Here is a 26,046-nt window from a genome sequence, read left to right as displayed (position 1 = left end):
TAAATATACAAAAATTAGCCAGGCGTGGTGGCTCATGCCTGTAGTCACTGAGGCACGAGAATCGCTTGAACTCGGGAGGCAGAGATTACAGTGAGACAAGATCGCACCACTGCACTCCAGCCTGGGCAACAGAGTGAGAAAGAAAAAAAAGAAAGAAAAAAAGAAATGTTTGGGTAAAAAATGTTTTAGTATATATTAACATGTCCATCTTTATACCAACAACGTCATAAAATGTAAGTTTTAATATTATTTTAAGGAAGAAATTAATTATCCAGGAAGGCAAAAGTGCCTTGGGTCCATGAAAGTCACAATGCAGGCTGTACCTGACATCTCCTTTTCAATGTCTCAAAGGTGTCTTCTAATCTATGTGTCCAGAACTGAACACATGCTTCTCCACGCTCCTCTTCTGGTCCTCACACAGTGTCCCCTAAATCAGTGAAGGGCTCATTGTTGTGAAAATAAACAAAGACCACCCAAATGGGAGCACGCACAGGCTACTTATTTAGAGCTGGCTAAAGCAAGGGAGACACTTGCATTTGACAGAAACTTAAAGGCAGTTAGGGGAGAGGGGAAGCTTTACAGCAGCAGGGGTGTGGGGAGGCTTTGGATATGCTCTGATTGGAGGCTGCTTGTGTGGGGAAGTTGAAGGGGGTTAACTAGAACTAGGGGGTCTTACGTGATTGGCTTAGGGAGCGTATTTGGCTTTCTCTGGTTGGTCCTGAGTTAGAAGTGGGGGCAAAAACATAGGCACCAATAAAGCACCATTGAGCAAATTCTGACCATTCTGGCATGATTGTTGCAGAGGCTGTGGTTTAGCTTCCTGGCATAGTTGCTGCAGAGGTTGTGAGGCAGAGTTCTGTTGCCATATGTGGCCTGGCTTTTGTTCATTTGTGTATTCTGACTCTTTTTCCTTTTTTAAAAAATGTTTTAATTCCATAGGTTATTGGGGAACAGGTGGTATTTGGTTACATGAGTAAGTACTTTAGTGGTGATTTGTGAGATTTTGGTGCACCCATCTCCCGAGCAGTATACACTGAACCTGATTTGTAGTCTTTTATCCCTCACCCGCTTCCCACACTTTCCCCCCAAGTTCCCAAAGTCCACTGTATCATTCTTATGCCTTTGCATCCTCATAGCTTATCTCCCACCTATGAGAACATACACTCCATTCCTCAGTTACTTCTTAGAATAATAGTCTCCAGTCTCATTCAGGTTGCTGCAAATGCCATTAATTCATCCCTTTTTATGGCTGAGTATTAATCCATCATATACATATACCAGTTTCTTTATCCACTCATTGATTGATGGGCATTTGGGTTGGTTCCACATTTTTGAAATTGCGAATTGTGCTGCTATAAATATGTGTGTGCAAGTATCTTTTTCGTATAATGACTTCTTTTCCTCTGGGTAGATAACCAGTAGTGGGATTGCTGGATCAAATGATAGTTCTACTTTTAGTTTTCTAAGGGATCTCCACACTGTTTTCCACAGGGGTTATGCTAGTTTGCATTCCCATGAGCAATGTAGAAGTGTTCCCTTTCCCTTTTCACTGCATCCACACAAACATTTGTTATTTTCTTATTATGGCCATCCTTTCAGGAGTAAGGTGGTATCGCATTGTGGTTTTGATTTGCATTTCCCTCATCATTAGTGATGTCGAGCATTTTTTTCATATGTTTCTTGGCCATTTGTATATCTTCCTTTGAGAATTGTCTACTCATATCCTTAGCCCACCTTTTAATGGGATTTTTTTTTCTTACTGATTTGAGTTCATTGTAGATTCTGGATATTAGTCCTTTGTCAGATGTATAGATTGTGAAGATTTTCTCCCACTCTGTGGGTTGTCTGTTTACTCTGCTGACTGTTCTTTTTGCTGTACAGAAGCTCTTTAGTTTAATTAAGTCCCAGCTATTTATCTTTGTTTTTGTTGCATTTGCTTTGCTTCTGGGTTCTTGGTCATGAAATCCTTGCCTAAGCCAATGTCTAGAAGGGTTTTTCTGATGTTACCTTCTATAATTTTTATAGTGTCAGGTCTTAGATTTAAGTCCTTGATCCATCTTGAGTTGATTTTTGTATAAGGTGAGAGATGAGGATCCAGTTTCATTCTTCTACATGTGGCTTGCCAATTATCCCAGGACCACTTGTTGAATAGGGTGTCCTTTCCCCACTTTGTGTTTTTGTTTGCTTTGCCAAGTATCAGTTGGCTGTAAGTATTTGGGTTTATTTCTGGGTTCTCTATCTGTTCCATTGGACTATGTGCCTATTTTTATAGCAGTACTATGCTGTTTGGTGACTATGGCCTTTTAGTAGTTTGAAATCAGATAATGTGATACCTCCAGATTTGCTCTTTTTGCTTAGTCCTGCTTTGGGTATGCAGGCTCTTTTTTGGTTCCATATGAGCTTTAGGATTGTTTTTCTAATTCTGTGAAGAATGATGGTGGTATTTTAATGGGAATTGCATTAAATCTGTAGATTTCTTTTGGCAGTATGGTCATTTTCACAATATTCACTCTACCCATCCATAAGCATGGGATGTGTTTCCATTTGTTTGACTCTCACTATCTCTCTCAGCCTATTCAGGTTGCTCTAACAAAATACAATGAACTGAATAATTCACAAATGATAGAAATTCATTTCTCACAGTTCTACAGCCTGGGAAGTTCAAAATCAAGACACTGGAAGATTCAATGTCAATTGATGGCTGCTTGCTCCTTCCAAGATGGCACCTTCTTGCTGCATCTTCACATGGCTAAAAACGGAAAAAGGGATGAACTCTCTCAAGCTCTTTATTAAGGACACTAATCCCGCTGATGAGAGCATAGCCCTTATGACCTAATCATCTCCTAATGGCCCCACCTCTTAATACTGTTGCACTGGAAATTAAGTTTCAACACGAATTTTGGAAGGATGCAAACATTCAAATTACAGCATTTTGCCTCCGGTTCCCCCAAATTCATGTTTTTCTCACTTACAAAATACATTCTTTTCATTCCAATAGCCCCAAAAGTCTTAACTGAATCCAGCATCAACTTTAAAGTTTAAGTCCAAAGTCTCACGTAAATATCATCTAAATCAGATATAAATGAATGATTAGTTTGAAGCAAACTCCCCCTCCAGCTGTGAACCTGTGAAATCGAACAAGTTATGTGCTTTCAAATTACAATAGTGGCTGGGCACGGTGACTCATGCCTGTAATCCCAGCACTTTGGGAGGCCAAGGCAGGTGGATCACAAGGTCAGGAGTTCGAGACCAGTCTGGCCAACATGGTGAAACCCTGCCTCTACTAAAAATACAAAAATTAGTCTGGCGTGATGGTGGGTACCTGTAATCCCAGCTACTCGGGGGGCAGAGAAACACTTGAACCCGGGAGGCAGAGGTTGCAGTGAGCCAAGATCACGCCACTGCACTCCAGTCCGGGTGACAGAGCAAGACTCTGTCTCAAAAAAAAAAAAAAAAAGAAAGAAAGAAAGAAAAAAAGACAATAGTGATATCAGCATAGGATATACATTCTCATTCCAAAAGGGAGAGGTAGGAAAGAAAAGAGTAACAGGTCTCAAGTAAGTCCAAAACCCAACAAGGCAAACATTAAATATTAAGGCTTGAGAATGATCTTCTTTGACTCCATGTCCCATCTTCTGAACACACTAAGGTTCACCCAGGTGGGCTCACCCCCTTGGCTTTGCTGGGCACAACCCATGGTCAGCAGGGTTTGGAGTCATGTGACTGTGGCTCTCCCAGGTTGATGTTGCATGTTGGTGGCTCTACCAACCTGGGGTCACAAGGGTGGCCCTATTCTCATGGCTCCATTAGACACTGTCTTAGTGGGGACTCTCTGCCAACTATATTGTACCTGGGCCCACTGAAGCCATACCTGGGGTGGCTGAGGGGCACTGCACCAGAATTTGTGGAGCAGAAATGTGAGGCAATACTAGGAAGTGGGCCCCAAGGTCCCACAGATGCCCTGTGCTCCTGCTTTGAAATCATTCTGTCCTCAAGGGCCTGGCACTCTGGGCTTGTGATGGGAGTGGCAGCCTTGAAGATCTCCAAAATACCTTAGGGGTCATTCTTCCATTGTCTTGATTAATAGCATCTGACTTCCTTCTAGCCATACTAATCGCCTTACCAAACATTCTCTTGGTCACACTCTTGGTGTTCTCTCTCAACCATGCTTCTTATCCTTTACAACTTGACAAGGCTGAGACTTTTCCAAATCTTTAAGTTCTGCCTCTCTTTTAATTATAAATTCCATCTTTAATTCAATTCTCACTTCTCACATTTTATTACAAGCAGTCAAGGGAAGCCAAGCAGCTCCTTCAACACTTTGCTTAGAGACTTCTCCTGCAAATATCATATGAATACAATGTAACCAAGGTTCTTTTTTTTCTTTTTGTCACTTATTAACTTACTTCTGTAGTTTCCACTATCTTGTTCCTCATTTCCATCTGACACTTCACTAAAATGGCCTTTACTGTCCATATTTCTTTTCTTTCTTTCTTTTTTTTTTTTTTTTTTCTTGAGACAGGGTCTCACTCTGTTGCTTAGGTTAGAATGCAGTGGCACAATCATGGCTCACTGCAACCTCAACTTCCCAGGCTCAAGTAATTCTACCTTAGCCTCTGAGTAGCTTGGACTACAGGCAAGCACCACCATGCTTGGCTAGTTTTTTAAAAAACATTTTTTTAAATAAAAATGGGGTGTCCCTATGTTGCCCAGGCTGGTCTTGGACTCCTGGGCTCAAGCTATCCTCCCACCTCAGTCCCTCAAAGTGCTGGGATTACAGCCGGGAGCCACCATGCCCAGGTTACTGTCCATATTTCTGCCAACTGTCTGGTTCATGACCACTTAAGTAATCTCTAAGAAGATTGAAGGTTTCTCTACAACTCTTCTGAGTTCTCACCAGAAATCGCCCTTAATGCTCCATTCATGGCAACACAGGCTTTTTCTAGCCTGCTCCTCTGAACTGTTCCAGTCTCTGTCCATTACCAGTTCCAAAGCTGTTTTTACATTTTTAGGTATTTGTTACACAGTACTCCACTCCTGGTACTAATTTTCTGCCTCAATTTTTTGGGCTACTATAACAAAACACCAAACACTGGCTAATTTATAAAGAACAGAAATTTATTTCTCACAGCTGAGGCTGGGAAGTCTAAGATCAAGGTGCCAATAGATTCGGTATCTGGTAAGGGCTTGTTCTTTGCTTCCAAGACGGCACCTTCTTACTGCATCCTTACATGGCAAAAAGAGAAAAGGGATGAACTCACTCCCTCAAGCCCTTTTACAAGGGCACTAATCCAATTTATTAGAGCAGAGTCCTTCAGACCCAATCACCTCCTGAAAGCCCCACCTCTGAATACTATTGCATTGAGGATTCAGTTTCAACATGAATTTTGGAAGGACACAAACATTCAAACCAGAGCACTCTCTATCCTGTTTCATAACCTAGAAATCCAGAAGTTATCTTGAATTCTTTCCTCTCCCACTCCCCATATATAACCCATCATCAAATCCCATAAATCCACCTTCTCAAATCGCTCTTGAGCCTGTCACTTCTTACTGTCTCCACCATGGTACCAACAAACTATTTTCACCTTTAAAATGACGTACTAAATAACCTCCTAACTTGGCCTACCCACCTCCACTGCCCCCTTCCCAATTTATTTGTCAGAACTATTACTTCAAAAGCCAACTCTGATCACATCACCCCATGCTTAAATTACTTCAATAGCTTCCCTTTGGTTTTAGGATGAAGACTAAAATCCTTAACCTGTCCTCCAGTGCCCTACGTGGTCTGGTCTGGCTCCCATCCTTCAGCCTCCTCTTGCTTCACACAACCTCCTATTTCTTTCTGTTTGAGCCACACTGGCAATCTTTCAGTCCCTGATGCATCCTTCCATCTGCCTCAGGGGATTTACTGGAAGGCAGTTCCGGCATCAGAGGAATAGCCGGAGCACCAGGGTAGGAGTCAGAACAGCTCCAGGGACACAGGTAGTAGGAGAAAAATGAAGTCTCATCAGGGCACCTATATGGGAAATATCAGCTCCATCACCCTTGCTTCACTATGCTTAAGATCCACAGTCCCAGAAGACAGTTCAATGGGTGTGGCTGACTTGGGTTACATATCCATACCTCGGCTAGGAAACCTTGAATAAAAATCCCCATAAAGCTTTAAACAATGAGGAGAAAGTAATTCTCCAAGAGCAAATGCGCAGTTCTTATCAGAAGGAGGAAGAATGAATTCAGAGTGATCCAAAAATCAACAACTGTCCACTTAACATATGTTCCCACTACTTGGAATGTCTTCCTGTATCCTCTTTGGTTAGTTAGTCCTACTCAGTTTTCAGTGTTGTACCCAGGTGAGTTAAGAAAACGTCACACTTTGAGACGAATTAAGAGTCCTTTATTAAGCCGGCGGCCAAAGAGACGGCTAATGCTCAAAATTCTCTCGGCCCCGAGGAAAGGGCTTGATTAACTTTTATACCTAGGTTTAGGAAGGGGAGGGGGACTCAAATGTAATAATTCTACAGAAGTAAAAACATGCAAGAATCAAAAGAATCAAAATGGTTACAGAGTGATAAACAACTTAAAAGACAAATGGTTACAAGAAGAGCAACGGTACCAGGTGCAAGGTTCTAAATCTTTTATTATAATTAGATATAGGGTTTATGCCGGACACGAACTCAAGGTTTTATGTTGTTATCTCTTGGAGAAAATTCCTGGGAACTTCATACGTTGTTGGTGTTGGTACCTTATCAGTTAATTGGGCTCCTTTGAAATGCTGAGGATCTGTTTACCCAGGCCAACTCCTCACGAAAGGGGGTTGGGTGAGGAGCCCTAGTGTCTTGTAAATTAAGGGGCCAATTGGAGTTTGCCCAGCTTTCCTAGCTAGAGAGTCTTATTTACATGAAAAGCAAGGCTAGGTGATTTAAAGAGACAAGCAGGACAAAATTCAAAGTAATGAGTTGAAGTAAAAACAAGGTTAGGCATTTCATCAGCATCCAACCCAGTTGTTCCTTCATTAGAGAAGCCTTCTCTCACTTTCCCATGGGATCAAAGTTCTCTATTCTGTTATTTCATAACACTATTTCATAGTACTTGCTAGTGTTGTAATTTTACATTTATTGGTGAATATTCTAATGAAATCATCTCTCCCAATAAGCTAAAGAGTCCGTGAGAGCAGAACCCATATCTGTTTGGTTCACTGTGTTATCTCCAGTGCCAAGCACAGGGCCTGGCAAAGCAAAGACACTCAACAGACATTCATTTAATGTAAGAATCAAGGCATATTTTCCCCACTGATATGAATTATGCCACTGTACCCTTAGAAAGCTAGCACAGGTAAATTTCTTATTTTTAATTTCAATAGCTTTGGGGGTACAGGTAGTTTTTGGTTACATAGATAAGTTATTTAGTGGTGATTTCTGAGATTTTGGTGCACTCATCACCCAAGCAGTGTACACTGTACCCATTATGTAATCTTTTATTCCTCACCCCCCTACCAGCCTTCCCTCTGAGTCCCCAAAGTCCATTGTATCATTCTTACGCCTTTGCATCCTCACAGCTTAGCTCCCACTTATAAGTGAGAATATACAATGTTTGGTTTTTCCATTCCTGAGTTACTTCACTTAGAATAATGGCCTCCAACTCCATCCAAGTTGCTGCAAATGCCATTATTTTGTTTTGTTTTACGACTGAGTAGTATTCCATGGTGTACATATACCACACTCTCTTTATCCACTTGTTGGTTGATGGGCATTTAGGTTGGTTCCATATTTTTGCAATTGTGAATTGTGCTGCTTTAAACATGTGAAACACAGCTAAATTTCTTTTCTTTTCTTTTCTTTTTTTTTTTGAGATGGAGTCTTGCTGTATCACCCCAGGCTGGAGTGCAGTGGTGCAATCTCGGCTCATGGCAACCTCTGCCTCCTGGGTTCATGTGATTCTCCTGCCTCAGCCTCCTGAGTAGCTGGGATTACAGGTGTGTACCACCACACCAGGCTAATTTTTGTATTTTTAGTAGAGACGGGGTTTCACCATGTTGGTCAGGCTGGTCTTGAACCCCTGACCTCGTGATCCATCTGCCTCGGCCTCCCAAAGTGCTAGGATTACAGGCATGAGCCACTGTGCCTAGCCACAGCTAAATTTCTAAATAAAAATTTTTGTTTCAAATATATACTTTATTATATACATTTTATCATCTAATCTTTACAAGAATGCTGCAGGAACCCATTTTCTACATAAAGAAACTGCAGCACAGGGAGTTAGGAAATTTGTTTAAGATCACATACCTGGTAAATAATCCATGACAGAGACAACTTCAGGTTCTATCTGATTCCAAAACTCAAGTTCAAAACTGCTATGTGGTATTACCCCTCTGTAACACAAAGACGTTAAAGGTAGAACTCATTCATCTGTAAAATTGGCTTTCAAGTAAGTTCATTTTCATGCAAATCTAGATATGCCCCATAAAAGTTAGTTTAATTTGTAAAATACTGATCTATAGAGAGAATAAAATTCTGGGCAGATGCAATTTTACAGAGAATTTTAATGCTTACCAAACAGCTTTTTCTCTCATTCATGGTAAGTGACTCTGGCATGAGTAAAGGAACAGAGATTGGTGACATCATCATTAAGGTAACCTGTTCCCTAAATTTCAATTATAAATTGTATTTATAGACTATAAAAAGTATTTCAATTTTTCCAAAAGAGCTTCACTTTTTCAGTGTTTTTTCTAAGTAATAAGGGGATGCTGAAATAACACAAAGAATGATTTCATTTCCCAGGACTTACTGGAGAAGGGACTGAGGTAGGATCAGTTACTGGGGAACATGGAACTCACTGGGAAAGGAAAAGCAAAACCCACAAATATAAGGAAGAGTGTTTCTTCAGGTCAGCTACAGCAATGAGGCAGCCAAGATGCTTGTGAGGAAACAGTAAGGATAATGAGGCAGTCTCTCATTTTCTCATTTATTGCATGCTGGAGTCCTCAAATCTGCTAAAGATTCAGCGACAGGTTAACAGCAACAACTGCTATTTAATGATCATGGTGGTTTTCCCTAAAGGTCTCATTTTGTGGGAGGGGAAGCAAGGGGTGAATGTAAACTGACAGTACCGCAACAGGGAACTAAGTCATCTAATATGTGTTCTAGATACATAACCAGGGTCTGACTGTTGTGGCTTTCTGTATTTAACGTGTAAGAGGTTGTGACAACTCCCAGATCCTTTGAGAACACTGTGCTTTCAAAGCAGCTGGCTTGGTTTTAAAGACATCTGGATCATAATACACAATACGCACAGGAGCCCTGAAATAGGGGAAAAAGAAATCAACCTGAAATAAGATGAACAGAGAAGGTAGCTAATGTTTCTCAAGCATCCACTGTATGTTATGTACTATGATATTATCCCATTTTATTTTCATGACCTCCACTATACAGATAAGGAAATCAAGACTCAGTTAAATGAAGTTAAATGAATGAATTTACAGACAAATCCAGATTTATATGTCTCTCAGATTCCAAAACCTTTTCTCTTTCCCCAGAAAGTAAATTCAGGAAGTTGCTTAGTCTTGAACTTGAGTTTTGGAATCAGACAGACCTGAGTTTGTATCCCCTATGTATCATTTACCATAACATAATTTGTCAATGTTAAAACAAGCCAGAGTATTCTCTGGTAGACTTAAGAAAATAAAATTTTTGAAGTTGGCCACTCTCAGCACCTTACCACCAAATAATAATTTTGTCACCAGGATAAAAACCTTGATAATGCACTTGATCATATTCTTCTCTTTTACTTTTTATTTTATTGTTTTATTTTTTTGAGACAGGGTTTCACTCTGTCACCCAGGCTGGAGTGCAGTGGTGCGATCTCTGCTCACTGCAACCTCCTCCTCCCAGGCTCAAGTGATTCTCCTACCTCGGCCTCTCAAATAGCTGGGACTACAGACGTGCACCACTATGCCCAGCAAACTTTTTTGTATTTTTAGTACAGACGGGGTTTCACCATGTTGCCCAGTCTGGTCTCAAACTCCTGGGCTCAAGTGATCTGTCTGCTTTGGCCTCCCAAACTGCTGGGATTACAGGTGTGAGCCAACGCATCCAGCCTCTTCTCTTTAATGAACAGAGAATGAGCTTCATTTCATCTGATGGCAAATTTATTTTTTTTAAAGGATAAACACATTACAGCATTTTAAACATGTCATTATATAAGACTAGCATATTTCCTTTTCCCTGAGCTCAAGACTTCCACAACTTTTTCTGCCTCTCCTAGGTTTTGCTATTGATGCTTTAAAAGAGGGATCAGATGTTATCCGTCAAGGTAACAAAATTAATTGAGGCTCGGGCAAGTTAAGAGGCCTCCAAAAAATAAACAGAAATGAGAGGCAATGTTTTTCTTTGTTAATTATATATTCTTATCTATTTGAATTAGGCCATACACGTACATGATGCAAAACATTGGAAAAATACAAAAGCCTATTTATTGAAAAATAAGTCTTCCTCCTATCCCAATTCCCTAGGCCCCCAAAGGCAACCATTGTTACTAGCTTCTTGTATACCCTTCTGAGATACTACAGGCATATGCAAACAAATATATGGCCCATGTCTTTTTTTCTTACACAAATTGCAACATATTACATGCTGTGTTCTAGAATCTGTTTCACTTAATAATATATGTTAGATAAATAATTCCATACACATACTTATCAGACTGTCTCCTAGATCTTAAGTTTCTTTTTCCTTTTTCCTTTCTCTTTCTTAGAGCCAAGGTCTTACTCTGCTGCCTGGGCTGGAGTGCAGATCATAGCTCACTGTAACTTCAAACTCCTGGGCTCAAGCAATGACTTCCTGCCTCAGCCTCCCAAGTTGCTAGAACTACAGGCACATGCCACCACACCTGGCTAATTTTTGGTATTTTTTTGAAGAGATGGGGGTCTCACTTTGTTGCCTAGGCTGATGTCAAACTCCTGGGCTCAAGCGATCTTCCCACCTCTGCCTCCCAAAGTGTTGGGATTACTAGTATGAGCCACCGTGCCTGGCCAATATTTTTAAAGAATTTTTTGTAGAGACAGGGTCTCACTATGTTCCCCAGGGTGGTCTCCAACTCCTAGCCTCAAGCTATCCTCCCACCTTGGTCTCCCAAAGCACTAGGATTACAGGTGTGATCCACCTGCCCCATCCTAGATCTAAGTTGCAATACCTAGTCCACTAACCTTTTAACAGTAGCCTTATATTTAGGGTAAGAAGACCATAGATGTATCACAATAAATGTAATTCGTTAAGTAAGATGTTTTGGAAGTTCTTTTCATATTTCTACAACTCTTTTCATTTGCCTTATTAGGTCAACTTTCTCCCTCTCCCCAGAACCCCAGCCTTTCCTGTCCCACTTTAGCCTGAAATTGACATACCTCTTATTTGGATTAGCTAGTTCCTGAATCCTAGGTGATGCTTTGGAATGAGTAGTAGCATAAGATACTGGCCAATGGGCATCACGGTCAGGTAGATAATCTTGATGAACAGACTTGGACTTCGCTAGAGCTATTGTTCGGGGGCTAGGTTTAGCTATCATGGCAGCAGGAGGTACCTATAGTGGAAACAAAGAGACACAAAAATATATCCCAAATTTTACATTTCTCTATGTCTATAGCTATATCCCTACTTAAGTCACAATCATTTCTTTTCTGGATTACTGCAACAGACTCGTAACTGGTCTCTCTGCTTCCATCCTTGCTCCTGTACAATGCAGCCTTCCATGACAGTTACTGAGGGAGAGAATGAACATATAATGAGTGTGTTCTGTGAGCCAGACAGTGTTCTAAGCTTTACCTAAATCATTCCCACTTAATCATCACAACAGCTTCATGAGCTAAGTACTTTCTAAAGCCCAAATCAGATCATATCGCTACCAGGCTTTAAACCCATGCTGGGCTGGATGCGTTGGTTGCTACCTGTAATCCTATCACTTTGGGAGGCCAAGGCGGGTGGATCATGAAGTCAGGAGTCTGAGACCAGCCTGACTAACACGGTGAAACCCCGTCTGTACTAAAAATACAAAAATTAGCTGGGCTTGGTGGCCCGTGCCTGTAATCCCAGCTACTCAGGAGGCTGAGGCAGAAGAATCGCCTGAACCAGGGAGTCGGAGGTTGCAGTGAGCCAAGATCACACTACAGCACTCCAGCCTGGCAACAGAGTGAGACTCTGTCTCAAATAAATAAATAAATAAACCCATCCTATTGTTTCCCATTTTGCTAAAAATAATACTTAGGCTCAGCCAAGCACAATGGCTTGTGCCTGTAATCAGTCCCAGCACTTTGGGAGGCTGAGGTGAGCAGATCATTTGAGCCCAGGAGTTCAAGACTAGCCTGGACAAAATGGCAAAACCTCATCTCTACAAAAAAAAAAAAAAAAAAAAAAAAAAAAGAAAGCAAAGAAAAACAAAAATTAGCTGGTTTACATTCCCACCAACAGTGTAAAAGCATTCCTATTTCTCCACAGCCTTGCCAGCATCTGTTGTTTCCTGACTTTTTAATAATCACCTTTCTGAATGGTGTGAGATGGTATCTCATTGTGGTTTTGATTTGCATCTCTCTAATGATCAGTGATGTTGAGTTTTATTTTCATATGTTTGTTGGCCACATAAATGTCTTCTTTTGAGAAGTGTCTGCAGCACTATTCACAATAGCAAATACCTGGAACCAATCCAAATGCTCATCAATGATAGACTGGATAAAGAAAATGTGGTACATACACACCATGGAATACTATGCAGCCATAAAAAAGAATGAGATCATATCTTTTGCAAGGATATGGATGGAGCTGGAAGCCATCATCCTCAGCAAACTAACACAGGAACAGAAAACCAAACACTTCATGTTCTCACTCATAAGAAGGAGTTGAACAATGAGAATGCATGGACACAGAGAGGGGAACAACACACACCAGGGCCTGTCAGCGGCAGGGGGTGTGTAAGGGGAGGGAGAGCATTAGGACAAATAGCTAATGCATGTGGGGTTTAAAACCTAGGTGACAGGTTGATAGGTGCAGCAAACCACCATGGCACATGTATACCTATGTAACAAATCTGCACATTCCGCACATGTATCCTGGAACTTAAAGTGAAAAAAATTAAAAAATAAAGTAAAAAATAATAATTTTGAGCAAAAAAAATTAGCTGGGCATGGTGGTGCATGTCTGTGGTCACAGCTGCTCAGGAGGCTGAAGTGGGAGGATCACTTGAGCCCAGGGAGGTTGAGGCTACAATAAGCTGTGATAGCACCACTGCTCTCCAGCCTGGGTGAGAGAGTGAGATCCTGTTTCAAAATAATAATAATTATTACATATTATTGTGTATATATACATATATACACACACTTAGTGTATTCTGTTTTCACACTGCTATGAAGAAATATCTGAGATGGGGTAATTTATTAAGAAAAAGAGGTTTAATGGAATCACAGTTCCATTGGGGAGTGGCTGGGGAGGCCTCACCATCATGGCGGAAGGCAAAGGAGGAGCAAAGGCACATCTTACATGGTCGGGGGCAAGAGACCGTAAGAGCCCAGCGAAGGGGGAAGCCCCTTATAAAACCATCAGATCTCATGAGAACTCACTAACTATCAGGAGAACAGCATGGGGGAAACCACCCCCATGAGTCAATTATTTCCACCTGGTCCTTCCCTTGACATGTGGGATTATTACAATTCAAGGTGAGATTTGAGTGGGGACACAGAGCCAAACCCTATCACTTAGGCTCCTTCTGTGGCCTACAAGGCCCTACATGATCTGCCTTCTGCCCCACCCCTCTGACCTCATCTTCCTCCCCTCCTCTCCTTGATCCCTGTGATTCCAGCCACACAGACTCCCTGGACCAGGTCCTTCCCTCTCAGGACCTTTGCACTTGCTAGTTCTCCTTGAAAAAAAAACTTCCCTTAGCCTTGGCTTGGCTGCCTCTCCCTCACTCAAGTCTCTAGACTCATACATCACATTCTTCAAGGAGATCTTCCCTGGCCAGGCAAGACAAGTCAGCCTAATTACCCTCTTCTGCAGGACTTACTTAATCTTCTTCATAGCACATGTCAACACCCACATTAGCTCATTTATCACTTTGTTTATTGACTGTATTTCTCCCCATTAGAATATAAGCTGCTCAAGGGGAATTACTTGTTTGCTAAAAGCTAAAATTGGCTCTGGCACATAGTTGGTGCTGAATAAACATATACTGACTGACTCCTTTTGGTCTTACTTTAAAAACCACATCTACCAGATTGCCTTTCTGTTATGTTGCTTTATTGGTAAAATACCTAGGATGACATCTACTACTCTCTTTTAAATGCTCACTCAAAAGAATTAGAGTGGGGCTAGCCATGATGGCTCACACCTATAATCCTAGCTCTTTGGGAGGTTGAGGCACAAGGATCACTTGAGCTCAGGGGTTCCAGACCAGCCTGGGCAATATAGTGAGACCCCTGTCTCTACAAAAAAATTTTTAAAACTTGGGGGTGGTGGCACATGCCTGTAGTCCCAGCTGCTCAGGTGGCTGAGGTGGGAGGATCACTTAAGCCCAGAAGGTTGAGGCTGCAGTGAGCCATGATCGTGCTGCTGCACTCCAGCCTGGGTGACAGAGCAAGACACTGTCTAAAAAAAAAACACCACCATCACAAAAAAAACAAACAAAAGAATTAGGGAGGACAGCTAACACCACTCTCAGTAGTCTTGAAAGTGTTCTGCATTGCACTGGTGCAGATTTGTTTCGGGTTCTAAGACTATGATTTTCTGCAGTGGTATTCCTTTTTTCTAAAGACCTTAAAAAATAAAATAAACCCAAACAATCCTAGCAATTAAGGAAAGATCTCCATTACTTCCATTTTTACATACCAAAAAACTGAGAATAAAGTCATTTGCCTGACAGTCACAAGTCACTTTAGTAAACTTAAGACACTCGTCCAAGAGTTTCTGATTCCCAGAATGGTTTTCTTTCCTAATAGAATTCCATATTAAATCCTCAGTTTCCTTGAAACAGGGTGAAACTGGCCCCACCTCTTTTGGCAACATGATCATTAGATATTTTTTGAAAACCCAATTGGAATAGGGCACCAAGTTGGCACTGCAATTGATGGTGGGGAATGTCAAGGATGAAGAGGGAGGGAAGCCATCAAAGGTTCCAGGCTCTGTGCTGAGTGCCATGACTTACCTGTTATTGCTCAACACAGCAGACCACTCGGTGAGGGCGGCTATCTCCAGAATTCTCTAGCTCACCTTGCTCCACCCAATTTCAAGTGCATCCCAACTTTAGTACTTTGGCATGTACTCTTCCCTTTACTGGAATATTCTTCTAGATCTTCACTTGGTTGACTCCTTCTTACCAGTCAGGTTTCAGCTCAAATATTCCTTCCTTAGAGAGGCCTTCACTGACTACCATAGGCAAAGTATCTTACCACCCTGCCCCACAGTCATTCATTTTCTATGTTATTTTCCTGATAGCATTTAGCATGATCTGACATTATCTATTGACTAATTTATTGTTTGTCTCCCCTGATTAGCATAGAGCTCCAAGTTGTTCACTGGGATCACTGCCTGGCTCACAGTAGGCATCCAAATATTTGTTGAATGAATAAAGCTCAGGAAGTTTGTCCCAACATCATAGAGCTTGTAGTGACGAGGCTGCAATTTGAATCCAGCTCCAAAACTGAACTCCAAAGCCCATGCTTTTGGTGTTCTACTCTTTTCCCTCTCTCCCTATCATCTAGCTAGTCTCTCTTCCTGCCACAGACCACTCTTCCCAGATTCTCTTTTCCAGTGACTTTGGGCTATGCCCTGTAGAGGCAAAATAGCATCCTAAGAGCAGCCAAAAAGTGAGCTGAAGGATACCAAGGTAGCGATGGCTTACAGGACGGATGGGCAGTTCACTTCTTTGTCTTTCATAGCACAGACCCTCTAACTTGATCCTTGGGTGGGCAAGCTCTATAATTCTTGGAGTTGCAATCGCACTCAGGGTAGAAAGTGAAATCTTGGTTTGCATCTAGGGGAGAAAAATAAAACAGTACTTATAAGCATCAAGTAATAAACACTATTTAGTTCAAGATTACAAAGTATGATTTGACCTCTGGGCCAGACTTCTCAACACTCCAGCAGAAAGGGTGGGAATCTTGCAGTAACCTATAATCACAGCTGAAAGGATCAATTTCTATCTTTCTCAAACAAGATTACATGGATTCCGATGTAGCTTTTCTTTTTTTTGTTGTTGTGTTTTGTTTTCCAATCAAAATGCTTTTATTAGAATACTAATAAATGCAGATAAAAAAAACCTCACACAGAAAAAGAGGAAAACACTCAGAAATGTGATTACAGATTAGGCATATTAGAGGAAAAAGAGTTCTTCAGGGTATACAAAATGTAAACATTTGTCCTGGGATTTCCCACAGATGGCACAGTCCACATGGACTCTTTTGGAACAAAAAAATGTCTATTAAGTCTCCTGGATAGCTTCTATAAAGTCTGCAAACTTGCCACATTAAAAGTTAAAGTTCCTAAAACTTTCTATGCAAAACACAAAATGGCTCCCAATCCAGGCAACTGGCACACATGTAAGCAGAATACCAAAGCAAATCTGTCTTCCAACCATCAGCTTCGACTCCCTCCAGGTACTGTATTTACATTTACCTCGACAGAGATTACAGAGATATACACAGTATATAAAACTCCTACTTGAGGCTGGGGTGGGAGATGAAATCTTTCTTGCTTATCAAATGCTCTGGGGAGAGGCACCAAATCAGTCCTTTAAACTTAGGGAGAGAGGACTAAGAAGAGGCCCTCTTTTGTTCAGAAAATGGCAACTCATAAACTTCCATGGGTGGGCAGGTACAAACCAGGTGCTGATCTCCATATATGTCATCAATCCGGGCAATCACTGGCCAGAATTTGTTCTCTGGTTTCACGAAGGGGAGTGGGAATGCTGCCACCTCTCTGGAATATAAGGCCGGTCCCAGTGGGAAGATATAACGCAGGTCAGGGAGTGTGGAGACATCTTCAGCGGATTGACCCTGGGGTCGATGCGGCCCTCCTCAATGTCAGCAACTTCCTGCCGAATGCTGATCATGGCATCACAGAATCTGTCCAGCTCTGCCTTGTCCTCCGACTCAGTGGGCTCAACCATGAGGGTCCCTGCCACAGGCCAGGGCATGATAGGGGCGTGAAATCCATAATCCTGGAGTCTCTTGGCCACATCCACTGCCTCAATATTTGCAGACTTTTTGAAGGGTCTCGTGTCCAAAATAAATTCATGACCCACATAACCTCTTGCACCCCTGAAAAGAATTCTGTAGTGTTTTTCTAATCGCTTGGCCATGTAGTTGGCATTTAATATCGCAGTTTCCGTGGCTTGTTTAAGGCCCTTGCCTCCCATCATCTTGATATAAGCCCAGGAAATGGGCAAGATGGAACTGGAGCCCCATGGGGCCGCACTGACGGTTCCCACAGGACAGGCATCCTCATTCCGCTTTAGTGAAATGATGGGATGATTGGGCAAAAACGGGGCAAGGTATTTCTTACGCCAATGGGCCCCATGCCAGGACCACCTCCTCTGTGGGGAATGCAGAAGGTCTTGTGAAGATTTAGGTGCGAGACATCAGACCCAAAGTCTCCAGGGCGACAGATTCCCACCTGAGCGTTCATATTTGCCCCGTCTAGGTAGACCTATCCTCCATGTTGATGGATGAGGTCACACACGTCACTGATGTTCTCTTCAAACACCCCATTGGTGGATGGGTATGTAATCATGATGGCTGCTAGGTTCTCCTTGTGCTTATCCACCATGGCCTTGAGGTGAACTGCATTGATATTCCCACATTTATCCACCTCCACAGGCTGAATCTTCATGCCTGCCATGTGGGCACTTGTTGGGTTGGTCCCATGTGTTGATTTCAGAATGAGGCAAACCGTTCTGTGCCCCTCTCCTTTCTGGTTTAAGTAGGCTCGGATAGTGGCCAGTCCAGCATATTCTCCCTGGGCTCCCCTGTTTGGCTGGAAACAGACCTGGTCATAACCTGTGAGTTCACACAAATCCTTCTCAAGCTCTCAGAAAAGCTGCTGATATCCTTGAGCTTGGTCCAGAGGCACAAAGGGGTGGATGTTTGCAAATTCTTTCCATGTGATAGGTGCGAGTTCAGACGAACTGTTCAGTTTCATGGTGCAGGATCCCAGTGGAATCATGCTGTGAACAAGGGAAATGTCTTTATTTTCCAGTTTCTTCATATACCGGACAATATTTGTTTCAGAGTGGTAGCTGTTGAACACTTGATGGGTGAGGAACGGGCTGGTCCTCTTGAACACAGACCCTGGAATACCTCTGCACTCCTCTCCCATGCTTTCAGCAACCAGTTCTGCAGATGACTCACAAACAAAGATCCGCAACAAATCGTCCAGATCTTTTTCATTGACTGTTTCATCAAGAGAAATACCAAGTGTGCCATCCTCAAAAAGCCGAAAATTGATCTGCCGCTGAGCGGCCCTGCCCAAGACCTCCTTCACTGAGCAGCCACACTGAATCTTCAAGGTATCAAAGAACACGTCATGCTGGAGTTGATGCCCTGCTCGCTTGAGACCTTCTGGCAAAATCAAAGTGGCATTATGTACTCTCCTAGCAATATGCTCCAGCCCATGGGAACCATGGTAGATTGCAAACATGGCTGCCATATTCGCCAAGAGGGCCTGAGCTGTACAGATGTTGCTGGTAGCCATGTCTCTCTCAGTGTGTTGCTCCCTGGTTTGAAGAGCAAGACAATACACTTCTTTCCCAGTGGCGTCTCTTGTTGCCCCCACCATTCTTCCAGGCATCATTCTCACCAAGCTTTCTCGGACGGCAAAAAATGCTGCGTGGGGTCCCCCATAGCCCAGTGGCACTCCAAATCTCTGGGAGCTGCCCAAGGCGATGTCTACCCCAAATTCTCCCGGTGGCCTCAAGATGCACAAAGCTAAAAGGTCAGTAGCACACACAGCAGGCCAGGCTCCCACTCTGATGAGCTCTCTCCACGAGTTCCGTAAAGTCTTCCACCTTCCCCTCCGTGTCTGGGTACTGGAACAACACTCCGCTGACATCTTTTCCACTGAAGTCCATTTCACAGGGTAACTTCAGCTCAATGAGGACTCCAGTATATTTGGCTCGAGTCTGGACAACAGCTATTGTCTGTGGGTGGCAATGGGGGTCAACAAAAAATTTCCTCCTCTTGTGTCTGTAGCACAGCTGCAGCGCCTCTGCAGCCGCAGTCCCTCATCCAGCAGGGATGCACTGGCCATGTCCAGGCCTGTGATGTCACACACCATGGTCTGGTAGTTGAGTAAACTCTCCAGCCTCCCCTGAGACACCTCAGGCTGGTATGGAGTATACTGGGTGATCCATCCTGAGTTCTCCAGTAAGTTCCGCAAAATCGTCTGTGGCACTGAGCAGTTACAATAGCCCATGCCAATATAGGATCTCCAGATCTGGTTTTTGCTTGAAATGGCATGCAGAGTTGCAAGGATTTCATTTTCACAAACAGGGTCTTCCATTTTCAAGGGTCTTTTCAAATGGATGTTGGCAGGGACCGTCTTCTCGATCAATTCATCAATGCTCGCCAGCCCCAAGATCTGCAGCATCTCTCTCTGGTCTTTGTCCCCAGGGCCGATGTGCCTCCGAGCGAAGTCGTCGTGTCTGGGCAGAAGGCGCTCCAGGAGGCGCGAGGCCCCAGCCGCGGCGCTGTCCCCGCCGGCACTGCTGCTGTCCCGGCCCCACGGCGCCCAGCACAGCCCCGATCCCCCAGCCAGGCGGCGGCCGCCCCCGACCCCGCGGCCCAGGAGCAGCCCCAACGCCCTGGCACAGGACTGCATGGCCGCGGCCACCGTCCCCTGCCCCGGCCCGCAAGGGTCAGCCGCGCTCTCGGCCCCTCTCCTGGCCTCGGTCCCCCGGGTGGCGGCTGCGTCCAGCCTGGAGCCCCTTTCGCTGGACCGCCAGCCGGACAGATGGATGGACGCTCGCGGGCAATGAATGGGCGCTGCGCTCAACCAAGACACTCGCGCAAAGTTGTGGCTCCCCAACGTAGCTTTTCAAGAACTTAACTGTTAAACTAAAGACATTGAGGCAATAGCAAATAACTGATTCAGAGATAAATGGTAATGATAAACTCAGCCAAGAGGCCAGGCTCAGCCCCACCAAAAAAGAATGCTATAAAGCAGCGGTCCCCAACCTTTTGGACACCAGGGACCAGTTTCACAGAAGACAATTTTTCCATGGGCAGTGTTGGGAAAAGGATGGTTTAGGGATGAAACTGTTCCAACTTGGATAATCAGGCATTAAATTCTCATAAGGAGAGCACAACCTAGATCCTTTGCATGCACAGTTAACAATAGGGTTCACGCTCCTATGAGAATCTAATGCCACTGCTGATCTGACGGGAGGTGGAACTCAGGTAGTGATGGTCACTCACCCTCCTGCTCACCTCCTGCTGTGCTGCCTGATTCCTAACAGGCCACGGACCGGTATTGGTCCACAGCCTAGGGGTTGGGGATCCCTGCTATAAAGGGTGACTTAGCTTTGTTCATAATTATTTTTGCCCTTTGGGAATTGGGGCTCATATTATCACAAATCACCATGCTTAAAGTGAATTTAAGTGTCTCTCTTCTAATTGGAATAGATAAGAAAAAGAAGCCAAAGCCAATAAGAAGAAAAGCAGAACCATACGTCTCCCCACTAGACTCCCAAGTTATTCTTCACTATCTGAATTGTGGAAATTTGTTCAAATTACATGGTCTTCTATTTAAATTACTTGTATTCAAAATCAAAGCTTACCACAAAACTTTGAAGGAAAATATAATCAATAACGAAATAAAATGGGGCTTTAACTGTGGGTTAAAATTCCTTCCTGTGCTGTTTAATTGATGATGATTATTATGATGATGATGATACTAACACTGACAGTGTTTCACATGTTTTGTGTATTAGTCTTGTGTATTAGTCAAATTTTACATGTTTTGTGTATTAATCAAATTCCTTTTTGTGCTATTTAATTGATGATGAAGATTATGATGATGATACTAACACTGACAGTGTTTCACATGTTTTGTGTATTAGTCTATCCTTGCATTGCTATAAAGACCTACCTGAGATGGGGTAATTTGTAAAGTGAGGTCTTGTTGGCTCATGGTTCTGCAGGGTGTACAGGTGGCATGGCTGGGGAGGCCTCAGGAAATTTACAATCATGGTGGAAGGGCAAAGGGGAAGCACATCTTACATGGTGGGAACAGGAGACAGAGCAAAGGGGAAGGTGCTACACACTTTTAACAACCAAATCTCCTGAGAACTCACTCACTATCACAAGAACAGCAAGGGGGATATCCACTCTCATGATCCAATTACCTCCCACCAGACCCCTCCTCCAACACTGGGAATTATAATTCTACATGAGATTTGGATGGGGACACAAATCAAACCATAACATATTGAATCATTTATTCATCACCTCGGGTATCATTTTTATTTCTAATTCTCTAAGACAGAAACCAAGGTATTGTGAGATTCATTAATTTATTTAAGTTTACACAGTAAGATGTAGAGGTAACATTCAAACTGAAGATCCTACCTCTTTGTACGACACAACAAAGTACTAGTTAAACATTTTAAGCATTTTAAAGCGTGAATAAAGCTGTCTGTCCTCTCAGCCTCTGGGAAAATGAAAGAAATATATGACAACCATTGCTTTCAATTAAGGCTTATGATCTAAAAAGACTTAAAATAATCATGTACTTATTCAATTTATTAAACAAATATTTCTTAGTCAATTATAGTATGTAAGACCCAACAAGGAATAATAAGATACAGTTCCTTTCCTTAATGTAATTTTCAACTTAGAAAGAACCATAAGGCTGGGTGTGGTGGATCATGCCTGTGACATCAGCAGTTTGTGAGGCTGAAGCAGGAGGATGGATTGAGCCCAAGAGCCTTTTCAGATAACTGTGGATATTCTTCCTCGATACTACAACTTGAAAAGTGCTAGTTTCTTAAATGGTAGCTGCAAAAAGTACCATTTGAAACTATGTGAATGAACTTTTTGTACTTCATTACCTTACAATCCATTTGCTTATCTTGCACATTGAATGAACCTTTTAGCCATGCATAATTTTGAACTTAATACCTAGGTTTCACACCAGGGATGCAGGAATGGTTTAACACATGCAAGTCAATAAATGTGATACACCACATAAACAGAATTAAAAACAAAAATCACATGATCATCTCAATAGATGCAGAAAAAGCATCTAACTCTCCAAAACTCTCCAAAATCCAGCAAACTCTCAGCAAAATACAAGGGACATAACAATGTAATAAGAGCCCTCTATGACAAACTCACAGCCAACATAATACTGAATGGGGAAAAGTTGAAAGTTCTCTGAGAACTGAAACAATACAAGGATGCCCACTCTCACCACTCCTCTTCAACATAGTACTGGAAGTCCTAGCCAAAGCAATCAGACAAGAGAAAGAAATAAAGGGTATCCAAATCAGTAAAGAGGAAGTCAAACTGTTACTGTTTGCATGACATGATCATTTACCTTGAAAACCCTAAAGACTCCTCCAGAAAGCTTCTAGAACTACTAAAAGAATTTGGCAAAGTTTCTGGATACAAGATTAATGTATACAAATCAGTAGCTCTTCTATGCACCAACAGTGACCAAGCAGAGAAACAAATCAAGAACTCCACCATTTTTACAATAGCTGCAAAAAAAATAAAACAAAAAAACAAAACCCCCCCACACACAAAAACAAAACAACAACAACAACAACAAAAACCCAAAACAACAACAACAACAAAAAAAACCTTAGGAATATACCTAACCAAGGAGTCAAAAGACCTCTACAAAGAAAACTACAAAACACTGCTGAAAGAAATCACAGATGACACAAACAAATGGAAACACATCCCATGCTCATGGATGGGTAGAATCAATATTGTGAAAACGACCATAGTGCCAAAAGCAATCTACAAATTCAGTGCAATCCCCATCAAAATAACACCATCATTCTTCACAAAATTAGAAAAAACAATTCTAAAATTCATATGGAACCAAAAAAGAGCCTGAATAGCCAAAGCAAGACTAAGCAAAAAGAACAAATCTGGAGGCCTCACACTACCTGATTTCAAACTATACTATAAGGCCGTAGTCACCAAAACAGTACGGTGCTGGTATAAAAATAGGCACATACGCTGGGTGCAGTGGCTCACACCTGTAATCCCAGCACTTTGGGAGGCCAAGGCGGGCAGATCACTTGAGGTCAGGAGTTCGAGACCAGCCTGGCCAACGTGGTGAAACTCTGCCTCGACTAAAAATACCAAAATTAGCCAGGTGTGGTGGTGGGCGCCTGTAATCCCAACTACTCAGGAGGCTGAAGCAGGAGAATCACTTGAACCTGGGAGGCGGAGATTGCAGTGAGCTGAGATTGCGCCACTGCACTCCAGCCTGGGTGACACAGCAAGACTCCATTTCAAAAAAAGAAAAAAAAATAGGCACAGAGACCAATGGAAAAGAATAGAGAACCTAGAAATAAGCCCAAATACTTGCAGCCAACTGATCTTTGACAAAGCAAACAAAAGCATAAAGTGGAGAAAGGACACCCTGTTCAACAAATGGTGCTGGGATAATTGGCTAGCCACAAGTAGGAGAATGAAACTGGGTCCTCATCTCTCACCTTATACAAAAATAAACTCAAGATGGATTAAGGACTTAAACCTAAGACCTGAAACTATAAAAATTCTAGAAGATGGCTGGACACAGTGGCTAACGCCTGTAATCCCAGCACTTTGGGATGCTGAGGTAGGCGGATCACCTGAGGTTGGGAGTTCAAGACCAGCCTAACCCGTATAGAGAAACCCCATCTCTACTAAAAATACAAAATTAGCCTGGCGTGGTGGTGCATGCCTATAATCCCAGCTACTTGGGAGGCTGAAGCAGGCAAATTGCTTGAACCTGGAAGGCAGAGGTTGCAGTGAGCCAAGATCGCACCATTGCACTCCAGCCTGGGCAACAAGAATGAACCTCCGTCTCAAAAAAAAAAAAAAAATTCTGGAAGATGACACTGGAAAAACCCTTCTAGACATTGACTTAGGCAGGGATTTCATGATCAAGAACTCAAAAGCAAATGCAATAAAAACAAAGATAAATAGCTGAGACTTAATTAAACTAAAGAGCTTTTGCACAGCAAAAGAACAGTCAGCAGAGTAAACAGACAACCCACAGAGTGGGAGAAAATCTTCACAATCCATACATCTGACAAAGGACTAATATGCAGAATCTACAACAAACTCAAATCAGTAAGAAGAAAACAAACAATCCCATTAAAAGTTGGGCTAAGGACATGAACAGACAATTCTCAAAAGAAGATATACAAATGGCCAACAAACATATGAAAAAATGCTCAACATCACTAATGATCAAGGAAATGCAAATCAAAACTACAATGCAATACCAGCTTACTCCTGCAAGAATGGCCGTAATCAAAAAATCCGAAAACAGTAGATGTTGGTGTGGATGCGGTGATCAGGGAACACTTCTACACTGCTGGTGGGAATGTAAACTAGTACAGCCACTGTGGAAAACAGTGTGGAGATTCCTTAAAGAACTAAAAGTAGAACTACCATTTGATCCAGCAATCCCACTGCTGGGTATCCACCCAGAGGAAAAGAAGCCCTTATTTGAAAAAGATACTTGCACATGCATGTTTATAGCAGCACAATTCAGAATTGCAAAATCATGGAACCAACACAAATGCCCATCAATCAACAAGTGGATAAAGAAACTGTGGTAAATGTATAGGATGGAATACTACTCAGCCATAAAAAGGAATGAATTAATAGCATTTGCAGTGACCTGGATGAAATTGGAGACAATTATTCTAAGTAAAGTAACTCAAGAATGAAAAACCAAACACTGTATGTTTTCACTGATATGTGGGAGCTAAGCTATGAGGACGCAAAGGCATAAGAATGATACAATGGACTTTGAGGACTTGGGGGGGAAGAGTGGGAGGGGGGTGAGGGACAAAAGACTACAAATATGGTGCTGTGTAGACTGCTTGGGTGATGGGTGCACCAAAATCTCACAAATCACCACTGAAGAACTTACTCATGTAACCAAACACTACCTGTACCCCAATAACTTATGGAAAAATCACAAAAAAAGAAAAAAGTTGAATGAAGAAATCAATCAATCAATCAATCAATCAATCAATGGACCAAGGAAGAATGGATAAAGTACAATTGTTTTTGCACTGTAAAATGAGTAAGTTGAATGAAAATAAAGTGTAAAAGGTAAATTTATAAAATAAACATTTTAGGGGCAGCTATGTAAAAAAAATTATTTAGGGCTCTTAAAATTAATTGTTAAAAACTCCTGGAATTATAAATAAAATAATAAAACTTGCAAGCCAAACTTAAAAGCCTAAGAAAAATCAACTTTTAAATTTGAAAATTTAAAAATGAGGCTATTGATTATTTATAGCATACCTCTAAACAGTCTTTTCTGCATATAAAATCCATGCTCAAGGATACCTAAAAAGCTTACATCATTGGGTGTGGCAGTTTTTTTTAAGTGCCTATAAATTCTTTGACACTTCTCTTAATTGAGAGGTGGGGTTTGTGTCGCTGCCCCCTTGAATCTGGCCAGACTTGTAACTACAACAATAAACAGAGTATGACTGCTGTAATGTTATGTGACTTCTAAGGCCAAGCCATAAAAACCATGCAGCTTCCACCTGTTCTCTCAAAATATTCACCCTTGAGACACTCCATATTAGTATATTCCTTCTCAGAACAGCTCTCCTGACAAGAAAGGTCTAAGCCACATGGAGAGACCATATGAAGGAACTCCTACAGATATTCCCAACTGAGTCTATCTAGCTTTCAGATTATCCCAGCCTGGGCACCACACACAGGTGTTATTGTGGACTGACTGTTTGTGTCCCTCTGAAATTCACATGTTGAAGCCCAAACCCCCAGTGATTGAATTAGGAGGTGGGGCACTTTGGGTAGTAATT

At 42.2% G+C, this 26,046-nt stretch overlaps 1 protein-coding gene and 1 pseudogene across 7 annotated transcripts in view, besides 1 other annotated feature; both read right to left on the bottom strand.

Moving 5' to 3' along the window:
- Positions 1-26,046, bottom strand: part of SPMAP2L (sperm microtubule associated protein 2 like) — a 95,609-nt gene that overhangs the window by 13,707 nt on the left and 55,856 nt on the right. For 2 of the 7 annotated variants that reach the window (XM_011534357.2, XM_011534361.3), the window contains exons 7-9: positions 15,877-16,008; positions 11,399-11,574; positions 8,286-8,371 (exon numbers count right to left, since the gene is read on the bottom strand). In XM_011534357.2, the coding sequence (XP_011532659.1) occupies positions 8,286-8,371; positions 11,399-11,574; positions 15,877-16,008 (394 nt within the window). The other 5 variants (XR_941041.2, XM_011534363.3, XM_011534364.2 and 2 more) reach the window with 5 other exon arrangements.
- Positions 5,787-6,288: an enhancer, noted in NCBI's record as "NANOG hESC enhancer chr4:57472386-57472887 (GRCh37/hg19 assembly coordinates)". NCBI's record gives its function as "activates a minimal SCP1, AML or CMV promoter by ChIP-STARR-seq in naive H9 embryonic stem cells {active_cell/tissue: H9 hESC(naive)}" and the evidence as "EXISTENCE:reporter gene assay evidence [ECO:0000049][PMID:30033119]".
- GLDCP1 (glycine decarboxylase pseudogene 1) lies at positions 16,243-20,064 on the bottom strand (annotated as a pseudogene).

The sequence above is a fragment of the Homo sapiens genome, chromosome 4, assembly GCF_000001405.40.
Source record: "Homo sapiens chromosome 4, GRCh38.p14 Primary Assembly".
Taxonomy (NCBI): domain Eukaryota; kingdom Metazoa; phylum Chordata; class Mammalia; order Primates; family Hominidae; genus Homo; species Homo sapiens.
This window is presented reverse-complemented; position numbering and strand designations above follow the sequence as displayed.